This window comes from Homo sapiens, chromosome 11 (assembly GCF_000001405.40).
Source record: "Homo sapiens chromosome 11, GRCh38.p14 Primary Assembly".
Taxonomy (NCBI): domain Eukaryota; kingdom Metazoa; phylum Chordata; class Mammalia; order Primates; family Hominidae; genus Homo; species Homo sapiens.
Window position 1 is genome coordinate 31,062,529 of NC_000011.10, and position 18,994 is coordinate 31,081,522.

The 18,994-nt window shown below is 35.5% G+C and overlaps 1 protein-coding gene across 18 annotated transcripts in view; it reads right to left on the minus strand.

The window, feature by feature from the left end:
* The window catches only part of DCDC1 (doublecortin domain containing 1), a 506,137-nt gene that overhangs the window by 198,926 nt on the left and 288,217 nt on the right, over nt 1–18,994 (minus strand). For all 18 annotated transcript variants that reach the window (NR_170625.1, XR_002957144.2, XM_024448478.2 and 15 more), the window contains 3 exons: nt 15,337–15,397; nt 2,491–2,625; nt 1,941–2,098 (listed from right to left, as the gene is read on the minus strand). Coding sequence is in view for 16 of the 18 variants with exons in the window: in XM_024448478.2 (XP_024304246.1) it covers nt 1,941–2,098; nt 2,491–2,625; nt 15,337–15,397 (354 nt within the window). In the remaining 2 variants the exon portion in view is untranslated. The remainder of the gene's footprint in view (nt 1–1,940; nt 2,099–2,490; nt 2,626–15,336; nt 15,398–18,994) is intronic.

Here is an 18,994-nt window from a genome sequence, read left to right on the forward strand (position 1 = left end):
AAAAGAATACCTGGAACTTAAGTTTCTGTACCGTTCTGACACCCCATATTATGATACAGCAAGGTACTAAATTTGTTACTTTGTGTTCTATCTTCAAAACAACAAGTACAAAAGACTTGAGGTTTAAATAATAAATTAAATAAATAATAAATTGGAGAATCACTTTTGCTATCTATCAGAAAAAACGTTCCCTTCCTGTAAAAATTCCAGGTGGAATATGTAATTTAGTAATATAAAATAGCTTTTTTTTCTTTTTTTTCTTTTTTAAAATTTTATTATTATTATACTTTAAGTTTTAGGGTACATGTGCACAATGTGCAGGTTTGTTACATATGTATACATGTGCCATGTTGGTGTGCTGCACCCATTAACTCGTCATTTAGCATTAGGTATATCTCCTAATGTTATCCCTCCCCCCTCCCCCCACCCCACAACAGTCCCCAGAGTGTGATGTTCCCCTTCCTGTGTCCATGTGTTCTCATTGTTCCAACCCCATCAAAAAGTGGGCAAAGGATATGAACAGACACTTCTCAAAAGAATACATTTATGCAGCCAAAAAACACATCAAAAAATGCTCATCATCAGTGGCCATCAGAGAAATGCAAATCAAAACCACAATGAGATACCATCTCACACCAGTTAGAATGGCGATCATTAAAAAGTCAGGAAACAACAGGTGCTGGAGAGGATGTGGAGAAATAAGAACACTTTTACACTGCTGGTGGGACTGTAAACTAGTTCAACCATTGTGGAAGTCAGTGTGGCAATTCCTCAGGGATCTAGAACTAGAAATACCATTTGACCCAGCCATCCCATTATTGGGTACATACCCAAAGGATTATAAATCACGCTGCTATAAAGACACATGCACAGGTATGTTTATTGCAGCACTATTCACAATAGCAAAGACTTGGAATCAACCCAAATGTCCAACAACCATAGACTGGATTAAGAAAATGTGGCACATATACACCATGGAATAAAATAGCTTTTAATTGAAATAAGTTTTTTGTCTCTTTTCATGCAAGTGACATTTCTATCTACAGTCCATGTATTTAAATTTAGGAAGGCTGGGTGTGGTGGCTCATGCTGATAATCCCATCACTTTGGGAGAGCGAAGTGGGAGGATTGCTTGAGGCCAGGAGTTCAAGAGCAGCCTGGGCAATATAGCTAGACCCCATTTTTACAATAAATAAATTAATTAATTAAATCAAATAAATTTAGGAATTTCCTTAAACTTTAGTGAATATGATAAGAATTATATGGCTCCTTTAAGAGTATTTCAGTCAACAGTAATTTCAAACAGTTTTAGATTAAAATTGCAATTTATAAAGTCAGTTTATGATTTACAACATCAACCCCAACAAAATAATAATAAACTTCAGTTTCTAATGAAATAAAGAGGATCAGAGAAATTGTGTCCATTTCTTAACCAAGGATAATTTTTCAGTTGGTTAGCAATATCAATGATGTTATTTTTATTCTAGGAAGGGAAATAGGGTTGATTTGTTATCACTGGTTAAGACCATCTTTTGTGCACTTAACCTTGAGTCCAAATATAATATTCTCATGGAAAATAAAAAGGATTGCCCATGGAATAGTCTTCTTCAACATAGCTTGGTATTTTAACAATTGGGTGTATGGTCTGTAGTACCTTAGCTTAATTATGTTAATGATAGTTATTTCATAGCATTTTAGTGAAATCCCAGGACAGCAACCCATCCTAAGTATAATAATAAACAATAACATACATCAATCTTCAACAAAATACACATAAATGTCACCTTTCTTCATCAAATGTGACCCAAAAACTACTACGCTTGAAAGCCAAAGGGCTTTTGAGATATTTCAATTATCTTCAAGAAATCAATCTTACATGAAACTGAAGGAAAATATCGAATGTCATTGAGCAATAAAGCTCAGTTCTGTCAGTACCCTACCTCTGAGCAGAAGCCTTAGGATGTTTCTCTTCCAGTTTCCTCACCAGTGCTACTGTCAGCTCCCCCGTCTCCTCAAGAGAACCTTCTGGCATTAAATGGGTGTCTGAGGGTTCTGGCAGTTGCTTCAGACCAAGGTTGCTGGCACTTTCTTGCAGAACCTAATAAATGAAATATAGGAATCATGTAGCTAATTTTCATTGAATGGAAATATCTAAACTATACATGCCAAAAATATAACACTGCAGTTTTCATGGTGCCTTCAGTGTTTCTACAACACATAAGTCCTTTGTACGTGGCCAAAAGAAAAGAAGGCAATCCTAAGAAAAAAAGGGTATCACATCTGTTTAATAAAATGTTTATATAAAGTTATATGTTTACATAAATATAAATGTGCATATAGATATTATATTATGTGTATTATTTTAAACTATCCATAACATTAAGTTGTGAATTTGTGCTTGCCTCCTGAAAACAACTTGAACATTTTTTCTTTTTTCAAAATATATTTTAGAGAGCTATTTCTGTCTTGCCTCTGGCTCCCTACACTGACCTCTTCTGCTAAGTTTCTGCCATGTTCCTGATGAGCTGTGGTCCAGGCACCATGGTGAATGTGATACTCTGTCTGGGTCACATCTACTTGTGCATTTAGCTCCTCTAGGTAGGTCAGAACAAACTGAGGATAAGCCTGTAAGAAAGGAAAAAATAACAAGTAGTATCACCCTTATAAACAATAGCCAAAAATCCATCCAACTGGAAAGAGAGGAGGATAAATTACATTAATAGTAAAAAGGTCTGGCTAATAAACTTTGTACTTTATTATCAATTTCATAACAGAATCAAGCCAAATGACTTTAATATTAACGTTTCTAATTAGTTGTTTAATCTGATTAAGTTTCACTACATAGCTCATTTTCACCCTTAGATAAGATTAAAACAGTAAAACAATCTTATACATTAATAATAATAGCTAAATTTATTGAGTTATTTCTAGATACAAGGTATTATTGTATACACAACACATGTATGTAATTGTGTAGTTGCTGTATTGTTTGGAAGTATTCAATTCTGCTCTAGAAGATAAGAAAACAAATTGAATGAATGAAAGAGCTGCATTAAGCATAGATAAGATAGTAACCTGAGAAGTGTCAGACACAAGGTAGAGCATATGTCTATGAACATAGAAAGGGCTAGAAAGACAAAATAGATATTTAATATTCATGAATCACTAAATAACAAACAAAGCAAAAAATATTAATGATATACTAAATACAAATGAAGCACATGAGGCACACGAAAATCATGAGGTCTTTAATTAGCCACCCATTGTTGACTCTCATTTGGGATCTTCTGAAGGATAAAATCTGTCACTGCTCATCAGGCTAACTGGGGAGCACAGCTACTGGTCAAGTGACTCACACACAGCCCTCACGGAACAAGTGTGTGTCATTGTCCCACGCATCTTTTATTTGTTGGGCTCCCCGGTCAAGTTTTCATTCTGGTTCTTGTAACTACACCAGCAGCAGGAAAGAGTAATGTAGCATAAAGGGGGGGATATATAAATACTGCAGACCAGATTCAGGCTAATATGACCCTTCAACCCACTCGTGTAATATTTCAGTTATGTTAATCCGGCCCATCTCTCTTTCCTTACATTTTGTTTTATGTTTTAAATTGATTTAATAAGTCATGATGTGAAAATTTTAATTTGTTTTGTGCACTTTTGTGTACCATGGGCTCTAGCCTAGCTTACCAAGTAATACACTTGGAGGCTACCCTTACATGGAAGTAATTTCCCACATAACAATAAATTTGCATTTTAATCCTTGCAACAGCACTTTGCAATGGGTACTATTATTGTGCTCATTTTAAAGATGAGGAAGCAGACACAGGGAAGTTAAGCAACATGCTTCAGTGTCATCCAGCTTGATTAATAGTCTGTCAAGCCTAAATATGCTGCCTCAATTATAATATAAACTCCTTACTGCACTTTTTAAAGTGTGGAGCTAAAATTCTAAAAAACAAAAATTATGAGGGAGTGTTGAGTAGAGAAACGGCACTAAGGTACTTACATTGTTCTGGAAAAATAGATACTAAATAACTTTTAACTTTGTTAGAAGATGTAATGTAAATATGTATGTTTAAAATGTGAGGCACTCCAAAACCTTAAATGCATATTACTAAACATAAGAGTCGATCTGAAAAGGCTACAACTCTGGAGACAGCAAAAAGATCAGTGGTTGCCAGTGAGGACAGAAGACGTGCAGCACAGAGGGTTTTTAGGGCTGTTAAACTATTCTGTATAATACTATAATGGTGGATATATGTCATTATACATTAGTTCAAACCCATAGAATGTGCACCACCAAAAGTGAGCCTTAATGTAACCTGTAGACTTTGGTAATGATGTGTCAGTGTAGGTTCACCAGTTATAACAAATGTACCACTCTGGTGTGAGATGAAGATACTAGGGGAGGGTGTACATTTGTGAGGGTAAGGGATATATGGGAACTGCCTTACTTTATGCTTAATTTTGCTGTGAATCTAAAAGTGCTCTAAAAAGTAAAGTCTATTATTTTAAGGTAAGGGGCTCCACCAAAAGCACAAGTGACAAAAGAAAAATAAATTGTACTACATCAAAATTTTTAAAAAATTGTGTTGCAAACAATGCCATGAAGAAAGTAAAAAAACAACCTACAGAATGAGACAAAATATTTTCAGATTATAGGTCTGATAAGGGATGTGTATCTGGAATATATAAAGAACTCTTATACTCACTAATGAAAAGACAAATAACCCGATGAAAATACAAGAAAAGGATCTAGTAGACATTTCTCCAAAGAAGATAAACCATTTGCTAAGAAAAGATATTCAACATCACTAGTGATCAGAAAAATACAAATCAAAACCTCAGTAAGGTAATACTTTTTACCCACTAGGATGACAAAGAAAAACAAAATCAAAATGACAGAGAATAACAAGAGTTGGCAAGAATGTGAAGGGGAAACAGCTTGGCTAGTCCTCAAAATGTTAAATGTGGACTTTTCATACGGCCCAGCAATTCCACTCCTAGTTATATACCTATGAAAAATGAAAACATACATACACACAAAAACTTCCATACCAATATTCATAGCAACATTATTCATAGTAGCCAAAATAGTGGAAAGAAATAAAATGCCATTAACTGATAAATGTATTAAAAAGGTGATGTTTCCATACAATGGAATATTATTTGGCAACAAAAAGAAATGAATTACTAAAGCATGCTACAACCTGAATTAACTCAGAAAACATTATGCTAAGTGAAAAAAATCAATCACAGTAGGCCACATATTATATGAGTCCATTTATATGAAATGTCCAGAATGGGCAAATCTATAAAGGCTGGGGAGGCGGGCAGACAGAGGCAGAGGAATAGATGTCAAGTCCAAGATGTCTTTTAGGGAGAACGAAAATGTTTTAAAATTAGATTGTGGTGACGGATGCAAAAATCGTGAATATACTGAAAAACATTAAACACCTAAAAATAGGTGAATTATATGTTATGTGAATTATATTCAAGAAATCTATTTTAATGTAAGAAATTTTTCAATTAAAACAGTATATAAAGTATAGCTTTAAACCAGCAAAGAAAAAGAAGAGAAAAGGGATCCAGAAAATGTCAAGAAGAGATTATTTTATGCAAATTAAAAGCATAATAAAACAAATCTTTGTTGAATTAATCAATGAGTGTATTAACTATGTAATTATTTTTCTTTTTATGTCCTGACATATATTAGTTGTACATATTTTGGGGGCACATGCTGTTATTTTGATACCTGTATACAATGTATAATGATCAAATCAGTGTAATTGGAATATCTATCACCATGAGCATTAAATGTGTAAAATTTTAGATGTGTACTCCCTTTGACTTAACAAACATATACATATTACAAAGATGTCCATTGCAGCATTGCTCATATTTGCCTAAATGTGCATCACCAGGAAAATTTTAAAAGATAGCATAGATGTGGATGTCAGTATGAAAAGATGGCCACAAATACATCTTATCAAGTGGGAAAAAGTATATCACAAAGTAATATGTATAGTTTTGTGTGGGTGTGGGTATGTGTCTCTAATCAAGAATGATACACTATCAATAATAATATTGGAGGAATAGGTTCAAGAGGTACTTTTGCTTATCATTTTATTCAGTTCTGAATTATTGAAAATTTTTTTCAAAACTAACATGTATCCCTTTTATTATTTAAATGAGAATCATTTTATACATGCAAATATATGCATAATAATTTTTGGGAATATACAAAAAGCATGCTATTAGTGAATAACTCTGGGAAATGGGAATAAAGTTTGAGAGGAAGAGACTTTACTTCTCATTAATGTATTTTTTTTTTTTTTGAGATGGAGTCTCGCTCTGTAGCCCATGCTGGAATGCAGTGGTGCAATCTCGGCTCACTGCAAGCTCCGCTTCCTGGGTTCATGCCATTCTCCTGCCTCAGCCTCCCGAGTAGCTGGGACTACAGGCATATGCCACCACGCCTGGCTAATTTTTTGTATTTTTAGTAGAGACAGGGTTTCACCGTGTTAGCCAGGATGGTCTCGATCTCCTGACCTTGTGATCTGCCCACCTCGGCCTCCCAAAGTGCTGGGATTACAGGCATGAGCCACCGCGCCTGGCCCATTAATGTATTTTTTCTAATATTAATTTTTATCGCATATTATAAAAATTAATACTTTAAAGAAATTGAAAATAGTGATATTATTGCACACACTATTCAGATAATTTTGGAACGAGATTTTTGAATCACTAAGCTAATCCAAAACATTAGCAAAAAGAAGTTTAATCCAAAAAAAATTAGGATTTTCATTTTACCTTTAATCTTATTCATCTTTATTGCATTATGTTACTTTTTGTTTTCTTATGTCAGTTCTTATTGTCTTAGGTACATTCAAGACAATTCAACTGAAAAGAATGTGATGGGTAATGGAGAAGCAGATTATTTCATATTGGTTCTGCTAAAAACATCAAAGCCCAAATTCAGCAACAAAAGACCACTGTGTTTTCAATATGAGAGAAAACAATACCAAATATGTTCCACAGTATCAGAACATTAAAAGAATCGACTTCTAAAAAGCAAGACAAACAGTAGAAAACAAACAGTAGACACATTCCAAGACCATAAGTAACAGCAGCATGGCTCAAATTCTGGCAACTGTAAATCCCTTATATTGTTATGGTAGCTTCATGTTATAGTAGCTTCATCCTCTAATAGAAATAAAGACATTTTATGTAAGTTCATTTCTGAGGTACATTCCCCTAATACTAGAAAGAAGATGTACATGGAATATGGGAAACTTCAATATATAATATATCCAGTGAAATGGAAGAGGAAGTGCCCAAAAGGTAGGGCCATGATGTGGCTGAACATTCTGCTAGACACTGCAGAAGCAAAGACCAAAAGTACAACAATGACAAAAATGCAGTAATGGGCTTTGCTTCCTGGAGTTGAAAGTTTGGCAAAGGTGGCAGACATATATAAATAACACAAAGTGACCAGAGCTATTATTCATCCTCCCATCATGCATTTGGAGACATTTACAAATTGTCCTGGAATTTTCCCTTTGGAGTCATCCTAAACCATTCCTTTCCCAGGTAATATCCAGTCTAATACTTTAATACCACAGTTATTCAGTGTTATCTACTCTAAGACCAGGTGATCTTGACCTCCAATGAGGCACCCACAGGTTCAGTCATCAGACCACCAATACAGACAATTCCTTCCTCCAAAATCGGAAACTCAAATTTTTCTTCTAGAAAGTCAAAAACCTAATCTTTCAACTTTTTCTCCTTTCAACTTTTCTTCCCTTCAACTTCACCAGTGCATCACCCTAAACGGACCTCTAATATCTTAAGCCCTCATTATTTTCCAAGTCTATCAGCTCTTTGGCTAATAATGCATTCTTCACATTCTAACCTATTTTTTACCACCAGAAGATAAATTTTAACAAAGCCCATCTCTAATCACATAATTCCCATTTCAACAACTTCAAATAGCACATACTGGTTAACAACCTACAGTCCTATCCTGGTTTTAAATTCCAGCTATGCTATTTACTGGCTTTGTGACCTTGGGTAAGTTCAACTTCCATAACAGAGAAGTTTTCCCACTAAAGATTGAGTAAGAACATGATCGGAATTTCACATTTACCAAATTCACTCTCAGGATGCAACTGTAACTCTCTGTTGCTAAACAGAACCCCATCCATTTATGAGATTTTTTCCCATAAATGGAGGAGATGGATCATCTCCATCACTCCCAAGGGGTTCCCTTCATGTCTGTTAGAAAGGCTATGTTTCACCTAACTTTGGACCTCCACAGGAGTGCTTATGTCCTCAAGGGAAGTATGGCAGGCAAGTCTGCAGAATTTCACCTGGAATTTTAAACTCCAGATACTCTACCTACTCTTGGTCAATACAATGATCAGGCATGTTTTTGAAGAGGGTCTCTTTTTTCTTATTATTATACATGCTTTTTATAGAAACTTAGAAAATGTAGTAAAAACCGAAGAAAATAATTATCCATACTTCCACCACCCATTTCACATATAAACTTCCAGTTTTGTCTCTATACATGTTTATGTACAACGTAAATAAATGTAATAAATAAAATATTGTTTTCTTACCCGATTTTTCTCAATTAACAACATTACAATTTTTCTTAATCATCATAAATTATTCTCCATTATTTGTGATGCCAACATTTGGTATTCATAATAAAGACATGCCACAATATATTCATACAATCTCATTGTTGATTTCTTAACCTGTTTTCAATATTCACCATTCTAAGTAGTACTATAATGGACATCCTTAAAGATACATTTTGGTGCAAACTATTGATTAATTTCTTGGGGTAAGTTGCTGTAAGTGAAATTTCTGAGTCATAAGGAATATGCATTTTTTAAGGATTTTGATAAATGTTGTCAAACTGACCTGCAGGAATATTGTGCCACTCTCTTTGATGGTCCCCAAAGTTCCCTGCTTCCTTGTATTCATACCTTTGTGTAGCCCCTCCCATACTGTCAACTCCAGGAAGCAAAGCCCATTACTGCATTTTTGTCGTTGTTATATTTGTGGTCTTTGCTTCTGTAATGGGTAGCAGAGTATTCAGTCACATCATGGCCCTACCTTTTGGGCACTTCCTCTTCCACTATGTCATCCAAAGAATTTGGCAGAAGTGGTGGATGCCACTTCCGAGATGAGGTTATAAGGGGCACTTCAGCTTCTGTTTTGCTCTTTTGTTCTCTCTCACTCTTTTGTCTAGCTCATGTTGTGCAGGCCCACATGGCAAAGGAACTAATGCCTCTGGGCTACAGCAAGTAAGTATGCTTAGAGTTAGATCTTCCAGCCTTGGTCAAGCCTCAGATGTTTGCAACCTGAGTTAGTCTCACAAGTAACTTTGAGTTAGAACTACCCAAGTAAGTCACTCCAGGTTCCTGGCCTACCAAAACTATGAAATAATAAGTATTTGCTGTTTTAAGTTACTATGCTTTGAAGTAATTTGTTACACAATTAAAAAATAAAGCAATAGATAACTGATACATAAAATGAGTGTGTTAGTTTTCTTTTATCTTTATCAGCATTGTATATTCCTAGTTTTACATCTTCCTAATGTTAAAGGGAAGAAAATACCATCTCATTGTTTTACAGTTATTTTATATCTAGTGAGGCTGAAATTTTTATTTAGTTTGGCTCTTGTAATTTTTCTCCTGTCATGTATTTCCTTTTAATGTCCTTTGCCCATTTTTGTATTGAAGTGCATATCGTTTTCTATGCCTATATAAGGTTTATTATATATTGAGTATTATCGCATTCTCTGATGTTTATGTTGCAAAGATTTTCCCCATTTTTCATATTCTCCTATTTATTTTTGCTTAATTATTTTAGATTTAGGAGTTTTTACATTTTTATATACTCAAGTCATTAGTTTTTCCCTGTATGGATTCTCCCTTTGTTTGCACACTTATGAAGATGTACTTATGAAGATGTACTTATGAAGATGTCTACTCACTATTACACTGGATTAGATGTTTAATCCATATTTTCTTCTGTTTTATGGTTCCACGTTTAAATCTTTAATTTAGCTGAAACTATGAATTGTATGAAGGAGGTGATATAATTTTACTAACTTTTTGTAAAGGAATAGAGGAATAGTTAACTTTAAAAACAAATAAGACAAAAGACTTATCCAAGTAAAAACAATACAACAAAATGCAATAAATGTATTTAAGCTTGTTCATTATTATTATCATTATTAGCTACAAATTATCAATTTGCTGTTAAAGGCCAGGATCTGTGCCAAATACTTAAAATTCTAGTATTAATAGCTCCATTTTCCAGAGATAGAATTTGAAGCTTAAAAAGGTTAAATGACTTGTCTAAGGCCACACAGCTAATAAGTGTTGGAGCCAAGATTAGTTATTAATATCCTAAAGCAGCAATTCTGCCTTTTTAAAAAATAAATAACATGAGCTCCATTTATGATCCAGCTGCAAATAATTATCAAATTATCCTCCATTTTATCCTTAACTAGATGGAAATAGTTTTGAATATGACTAAATTTAGAGCTAATCAAAATTTCTAAACCTCTAAAAGAATGAAATGCCTCATTAATAAATAGTTTTGCTTTGGGAATTTAGAGTAGCTATTGTAAAAATATCAGTGATTGTGTTTGGGAATTAAGTTTTAGAAACAAAACCTTGAAAATAATTTGTGTTTGAAGCATAAAAGTATGCATCATTTGATAATCAGCGATAATATTGTTAGGAACAATTTAAAAATTGTAAAATGAGACAAAAAGAAAGGTAAAATGAGTAGCTGAGCAGCAGTGGATATGAAGGCACCTAAATTTGGGGAAAAAAAATGAGAAAGTACACTTAAAACTTGATTCTGCTTTTCTATGTCTGTTGACGGAAAGAGTGAGATTTAGATAAGATGGAATTATGTTCTTGGGTAATATGAGTCAACTGTGTTCAGGTATGTTTCATAATTATGTGCAGGCACAAGCCAAACAGCTGGAGAGAGATTTTGGTATTGTCTAAAAATTCTACTTTTTATTTTTACCAAGAAGTACAAGACTCCTTCTTCATCTACCTAGAGCCTCACTCTGGCTCAGGAATATGGTAAAGATTATAAATGGCATGAGGGATGAATAAAAGGAAAGTTGGAGTGAAATCTTGAGCAAAGTAAGGAAAGGTAATTCTTAAAAAGCTTTGACATTTCATTGATGTGTCAAATTCCCTTCTATGAACAGAACTAAAGGTGAATAGTTTGGGCTGGGTTAATAAATGGGGTGAAATTTTAGCTGGTGTACCAACAAATAACTATTCAGGGAAGGAAATGTTATTATAACACATTTTTATATTTAAATTGTATCAAACTCTAAATTTCTAAAATGATGCAAGTTGTGACGTAATTCTAGAACAGTAGAAAAATAAAATTACCATGCTTATCAGTCAGGGTCCAGTAAGGAGATACAAACCACATAGTAATCAAATAGGGAAAGTTGAACATAAACAATTAGTAACAGGGGATTGGAGTGGCTAGTAACAGTTAAAGAGAACACTAAAGAATATAAGAATGGCAGGTATAGGGGAAATGGAAGGTATAGAAAGATGCCTGACTCATGGCTCAGATCCAGTTCACATCAGAGAGGGCACAGCCATGTCTCACTGGACATCGAAGAAGTCACTGAGGGGTGGCACCAGTAGTATTCACTGTAAACTGACTTTGGAGTTACGGGAAGCTGTCCATAGGGAGGTGCTTAGCTGGTAACCCTCCACACAAAAGTCATTTGCTATGGTCTGAATGTGTCCCCCAAAATTCACATGTTGAAACTTAATTGCCAATGTGATAGTATTAAGAGGTAGGGCCTTTATGAGTTGATTGAGTCATATGGCAGAGCTCTCATGGACAGAATTAGGGCCTTTATAGAAAGGCTCAAGGGAGTTTGTTCAATCCTTTCTGTCCCTTCTACCATGTGAGAATACGGCATTTGTCCCCTCCAGAGGATGTAGCAACAAGGCAGACAGCAGCCCTCACCAGACACCAAACTTATTGGCATTTTGGTCTTAGACTCCCCAGCCCTCAGAAGTATGAGAAATAAATTTCTATTGTTTATAAATGACCCAGTCTGTGGTATTTTGTTACAGCAGCACAAATGAGACAAATTGGTACCCAGAAGTAGGGTGTTGTTATAACAAATGCTTAAAAATGTGGAAGTAGCTTTGGAACCGGGTAATGAACAGAGGCTGTGAGAGTTTGAAAAAGCAGGATAGACAAAGCCTATATTACCATGAATGGATCATAAAGGGTGACTCTGGTGATGTCTCTGAAGTGAAGAGCTGTAGACAGAGCCTAAATTTTTTTTATAATTACTATTATTTGTATACATTTAAGAAGCACAAGTGCAATTTTGTTACATGGCTATATTACATAGTGGTGGAGTCTGGGCTTTTAGTGCATCCATCACTTGAATGATATATATTGCATCCATTAAGTAATTTCTCATTATCCATCCTCTCACCCTTCTGAGTCTCCAATATCTATCATTCTACACTCTATGTCCATGTGTACACATTATTTAGCTTCCACCTATAAGTGAGAACATATGGGTTTTGTCTTTCTTTTTCTGAGTTGTATCACTTAATGGTCTCTGTCAGTTGCATCCATGTTGCAGCAAAATATATTATTTCATTCTTTTTAACAGCTGAATAATATTCCACTGTATATATACCACATTTTCTTGTCTATTTGTTCACTGATAGAACTTTAGGTTGATTCCCTATCTTTGCTATTGTGAATAGTACTATGATAAACATATGAGTGCATGTACCTTTTTGATATAATGATTTCTTTTCCTTTGGGTAGATATCCAGTAGTGGGATTGCCGGATGAAATGGTAGTTCTATCTTAAGTTCTCTGAGAAATCTCCATATTGCTTTCTATACAGGTTGCACTATAATAATTTACATTTCCACCAAGAATGTATAAGTGATCCCTTTTCTTTGCATCCTAGTCAATATCTGTTATTTTTGTCTTCTTCATAACAGCCATTCTAACTAGTGTAACAAGTATCTTGTTTTAATTTTGCAGTTCTCTGATGATTAGTGATGTTAAGCATTTTTTATACCCTTGTTGGCCATTTGTATGTCTTCTTTTGAAAAATGTCTATCACGTCCTTCGCCCACTTTTTAATGGAGTTATCTGTTTTGGCTTATGCTGCTGCTGAGTTCCTTGTAAATTCTAGACATTAGCCCCCTGTGGGGGACTCTCAAAGTGCTCAGATTACAGGTGTGAACCACCATGCCTGGCCCATTCATTCTTTTATTTTTTTTGAGACAGAGTTTCGCTCTTGTTGCCCATACTGGAGTGCTGGAGTGCAATGGTGCGATCTTGACTCACCACAACCTCCGCCTCCCGGGTTCAAGTGATTCTCCTGCCTCAGCCTCCCCAGTAGCTGGGATTACAGGCATGTACCACCACGCCTGGCTAATTTTGTATTTTTAGTAGAGACGGGGTTTCTCCATGTTGGTCAGGCTGGTCTCAAACTCCAGACCTCAGGTGATCCACCTGCCTCAGTCTCCCAAAGTGCTGGGAGTACAGGTGTGAGCCACTGCACCTGGCCTCATTCATTCTTTTTTATTCTTTTTTTTCTTTAGTTTTGTTTGACTGGATTAATTCCAAAGACCTGTGTTCAAGTTCTGAGATTCTTTCTTCTTCTTGATCTAGTCTATTGTTGAAGCTCTCAAATGCATTTTATAATTCTTTCAATGAAAATTTTATTTCCAGTTGTTCTGTTTACTTAATTTAATTTAATTTAATTTTTATTTTTTGAGGCAAGATCTCACTTTGTCACCCAGGCTGGAGCGCAGTGGCATGAACACAGCTCACTGCAGCCTTGACCTCCTGGACTCAAGCAATCCTCCCACCTCAGCCTTCTGAGTAGCTGGGATCACAGGCATGCACCATCAGGACTGGTTAATTTTTAAATTTTGTAGAGCTGGGATCTTGCCATGTTGCCCATGCTGGCCTCAAACTCCTGGGCTCAAGCAATCCTGCCTTGGCTTCCCAAAGTGCTAGAATTACAGGTATGAGTCACCATGCCCAACTGCTGTTTGTTTGGAGATACAGATGTCCTTGATAAATTTCTCATTAATCCTGGATTTATGTTTGGATTTCTGTATTGGTTTTCAGATCCTCTTATTGGTGTCCGTGTCTAGGAAAATGGGTGATATACTTTCCAGTGTCATTCTTTCTCACACAGTGTCCCAGTGTGAGATCCAGGGCTTGGGAGGCTCAAGGTGCTCTTCTGTGTCCTGGATTCCCCAGGAGGAGGTAGATCACAGAGGAACTCACTCTCCCTCTCCCATATTGGGTATTCACTTGCCATTTTCAGCTAGACCCCACCAAGCAGGCTGCCTGACCACCTTCTGTTTCCCAGCATCTACGTTTTCTTTTGCTTGTCTGTTGAGCTTGTTTTCCTTCTTGGATAAAACTTCACAGTGTGAATCTCTACACACTGGTTTGCTTCTTCCAGGTGGCTGAGGAATGCTGGAGAATCCTCTCGTCTGCCACCTTGGGAAACTCTAAAGCTTCTTAGAGATTACTCAAGTGGTTGGGATGAGAACATTAGTAGAAATATAGACAGTAAAGCCCATTCTGTTGAAGTCTTAGAAATGAGAAACAGACCTTGACTTGTTTCTGTAAATAAAGTTTTATTGAAATGTAGACACATCCATCCATTAACATATTATCCAGTGTGTGGGTCTTTAGAAAAACATTTGCCAACCCTGCCATATAGTATTCCAATGAATACACAGTGTCTAATACAATGTATTTATCCCTTCTACTGCTGACATCCATTTGAGTAATCATAACTCTGAAGCTACTAGAATTAGTATTGCTATTAACATTTTATTAATTTATTGTTTCCTTAATATATGTAAGCATATGACCATTTGTTGGCATATGACTAGTAGGGGAATTGCTGGGTTGTCTAGACATGTTCAACAGTAGTAGATACTGATAGTTTCCCAAAGTACCAAATTCTTCATTTCAATGTAGAAGAAAACTGATGCCCTAAAATGCTGGGTAATATTATAGCAATGAATTAGGAAAAATTATTTTTGACTTTAGAAAATGTGTTTTAAAATTAAAAAAAAAAGTTAAAGGAAAGTATTGAGTTAAGTTAAATTCTAAATTTCTAGGTACAGAGTGAAGTCATATATGCAGAAAAAGCATTTCTTGCTCTAAACAATAGATAGTACCCTTTATAAGAATCTGGGAATAGAAAAACTTAGGCATAAAAGCTGTGGATTATAAAGTCCTTACCTTTGAATAAATGCAACCATCAGTTCCAAACACCCACTTCTGAGAGTCATCTCCACTATGTCTGTAACGAAAATGTAATTTAGAGATTGACATCTTCTCTCCACAGAAACACTTGTAGGTTTTAAATAAAATGATCATTTTCCAGATAGCCTGGCAGGAGGACTGCCCACACTCTACCAAAGATTCTGCCACCATCACTTTTATCTCAGCAGCTAAAGCTTTCCCTAAGACAACCAATTTCCCTGCTACAATGCTCTGGTACCCTAAGCGGGGTAAGTATGTGCATATGTGTGTTACCAGTAGCAACAGTGATCAAAAGTTTTAGAGAACAAATACAATCAATAAGAATATTATGGAAAGTTCTGCCTGCAAAAAAAGATCCTCTATGAGACAAAGAAAGAGACTTAATTAAGTATAAAGATTAAGAGAATAGTATGAAAAAAGATACCATGGAAAATTAGGAACCTCACGTGCCTAATTCTGAAACAGCTAGAGAATTTTGTCAGGGAATATTGTATTTTCTCAGCTAAGTCTGAGTAAGAAAAAACTAAAATGTGATGAAGCTAATTATGCCTAAATTAACTAATCATGTATTCATTAATATTTAGAAATCTTACAAAGGTGGAACAAAAATGAATTAAATTAAGTGTAACAGGATGTTAAACAAGACTTTTCCTACTGCCTCTGAGTTTTGACAGAAACATCAAAGGTTGAGTATAAGAGGTGTCAGGTAATGCTCTATTCTATTCTAAAGCAAGGTGCTATGTGATCTGGGCAGAGTATGTAAAGGCAGCCATCCAAAACTAGTTCAGTACACATTAGTCTTTAGCCTACATCCAGTTATGTAAAAGAATATGAAGAATTCATAGGCATGTTGAAATGGATGCTTAATAACAATGTAGGTGTCTAGAATCCTAGCCTCAGAGGTTTTGATTCTGAAGGTGTGGACCCACCCCCCACCCAAAAAATATACATTAACAGGTGTTTCAAGTTATTCCAATTATAAAATTCTGGGGATTTCTATGTGTGTGGTTAATAAGCCAAACTTTGGAAACCATGTACTAGAATAATGAGGGCAGTGAGGAAATGAAAAATCAAATGTTTAAACTTAGAAATAGTAAGAAACATGTTGTCTCTGTGCTGGGTTCTGGGCACAGAGCTTCTAACTCCCTTGACATTCCTTGAGTGATAGAAGCATCTTTTGTCCTAATGAGGGGATTCTTGGAAGGCTCCTGAATGAGGGCTGGTCACCAGAAAGACCAAGTCATGATTCAAATACTGGAACTTTTAGTGTCCCTGTGCCTTCTCTTAGGAGAAAAGAGGAGCTGGAGAATGAGTTAATAATCAATCATGCCTCCATAAAAATCAACAGAATATAGGATTTGGAAAGATTCTAGGTTTGTGAACACATCCATGTGCCAGGAGGGTGGTGCATCCCAACTCCACAGGAACAGAAGCTCCTGTCCTCAGGACACTTCCAGACCTTGCCCTGTGTACCTCTTCATCTGACTGTTCATGTGTATCCTTTATCATATCCTTCATAATAAACTGGTAAACATAAGTAAATGTTTCTCTGAGTTCTGTGAGCCATTCTAGCAGATTATCAAACCCAACGAGGGGGTCATGAGAATCCCGACATATAGCTGGTTGGTCAGGAGTATAGGTGATAACCTGGGACTTGTGACTGGTGTTTTAAGTGAAGGCAGTCTTGTGGGACTGAGCCCTTAACTTGTGGGATCTAATGCTAACTCCTGGTAGATAGTGGCAGAACTAAATTGAATTGTAGGACACACAGCAGGTGTCCACTGAGAACTGAAGAATTGCTTGATGTGAAAAAAAAAATAACACATCTAATATCAGAAGTGAAGTGTATGAAGTAGAGAAAACTACAAAAATATTATAAAGGAGAAATGATTTGATGATTGAATAAATGAGGTGGAGGTTAGAGAGAGTAGATAAGGGTAAGTCTCAGATGTCAAAATTGGGAAAAGAAGAGGAACATGACACTATTAAAGGAAAATGAAATGAGAATGGAGCAGAGGCAGGCAGAGATGTGAAAAATAAGAAGAGTTCTAATAGTTATGTAAAAGTGTTTAATATTAAATAAAATATCTTTCAGGGTATAACTGACCCCTAAGCTAAGGATCCCATTCTAAGGCTTTGACAATGTAATTGTTGCTCAAAACAACTTCAGCATTAGGTGGGGTGATGAAGGTATTGGGGGAAGTTGTCTTTCTGAGGATCTTTCTATATTATAATTAATAAAGGAAAAGAGAAGCTTTTTAAATTTTGACTTGGGGTCCAGAACTAAAATGATGGTTATGATAATAATGATTATCCAAGAAAAAACAGACTGTGAGAATTTGAATGGAAGTGAGGGGCTATCCCAGTTGAGTTCTCATTTTATAGATGAATAAAATGAGATGCAGAGAGATGAAGTGAGCTGGTCAAAATCACAGCACTAGTTATTATACAAATAGGAACCAGAACCCAGAATGTCTGACTTAAGCTCAACATCTCAATTAGATCAGAAAAGTATAATGGAAGTTATTTTGTGTAAGTGGAAGACTGAAAATGGAGTCAACATCTTAGTCTCACTAATTATAATTTGACACAATCTCAGTAACTTAATACATATTGATATAATCATAATGTTTTTATACAACTGTATTAAAATAATCACCAGTTTTATACTATAACAAATTCTCCTAAGGTACTGAGAAAGTTCATATTTCAAACCCTGAATGAAGAAATAACAAAAACAATATTGCTAGTCTTTAAAGCTGTCAATCCCAAGCTTAGAAGTATACTCTTTTCAAAATAATAAAAAAGAGTGATTGCTGTAATGCTTTGATAGAAATGTGTTGGGTTGCGATAAAATTTAGATCATTTTAATGTGTAGGGGCTATAACTCAATGCAGCTTCATTGCTTACAAGCAATCTCTCCTGTTTCATAAATTATTGTGAGTATATTTCTTCGAGATAAATGAAATGGCAAATGATAATTTTTCAAAGTATACGACATCTGCAATTGGCAATTAATAAACTGATGTTAACCATACAAATCTGTAAAATTCAGAATTTTGTCTTTTTATCGAATTACGGTGTTGCCTTGATGATGAATTATGCTGATTTGAGTTTCGACTTTCTGAACTTACAGCATCTTCTCTCAAAACTAATACAACAGAAAAGATGTCCACCAAGCTGGCAACTGTGTGAGGGCAGAGACCATGTATCCTCAGAGCTGATCACAAGGCCTGGCATGTAACAGGATATTAAAGCTATCTTTGAATAAATAAAAACGTGAATAAAGTGTCAGAATGTTACTACCCTAAAAATTAATCATAAAGCCATCTGAAAATGTTTTAAATTTAATATATGGCTGTTTAGGGAACTTAAAAGATCTTTTTGATAGATGGCTAAAGAAGATAAATTACACATTTGTTAAGAAAAAAAGAAATAAGGCCGGGCATGGTGGCTCACGCCTGTAATCCCAGCACTTTGGGAGGCCGAGGCGGGTGGATCACGAGGTCAGGAGATTGAGATCATCCTGGCTAACATGGTGAAACCTCGTCTCTACTAAAAATACAAAAAAATTAGCCGGGTGTGGTGGCACATGCCCGCAATCCCAGCTACTCGGGAGGCTGAGACAGGAGAA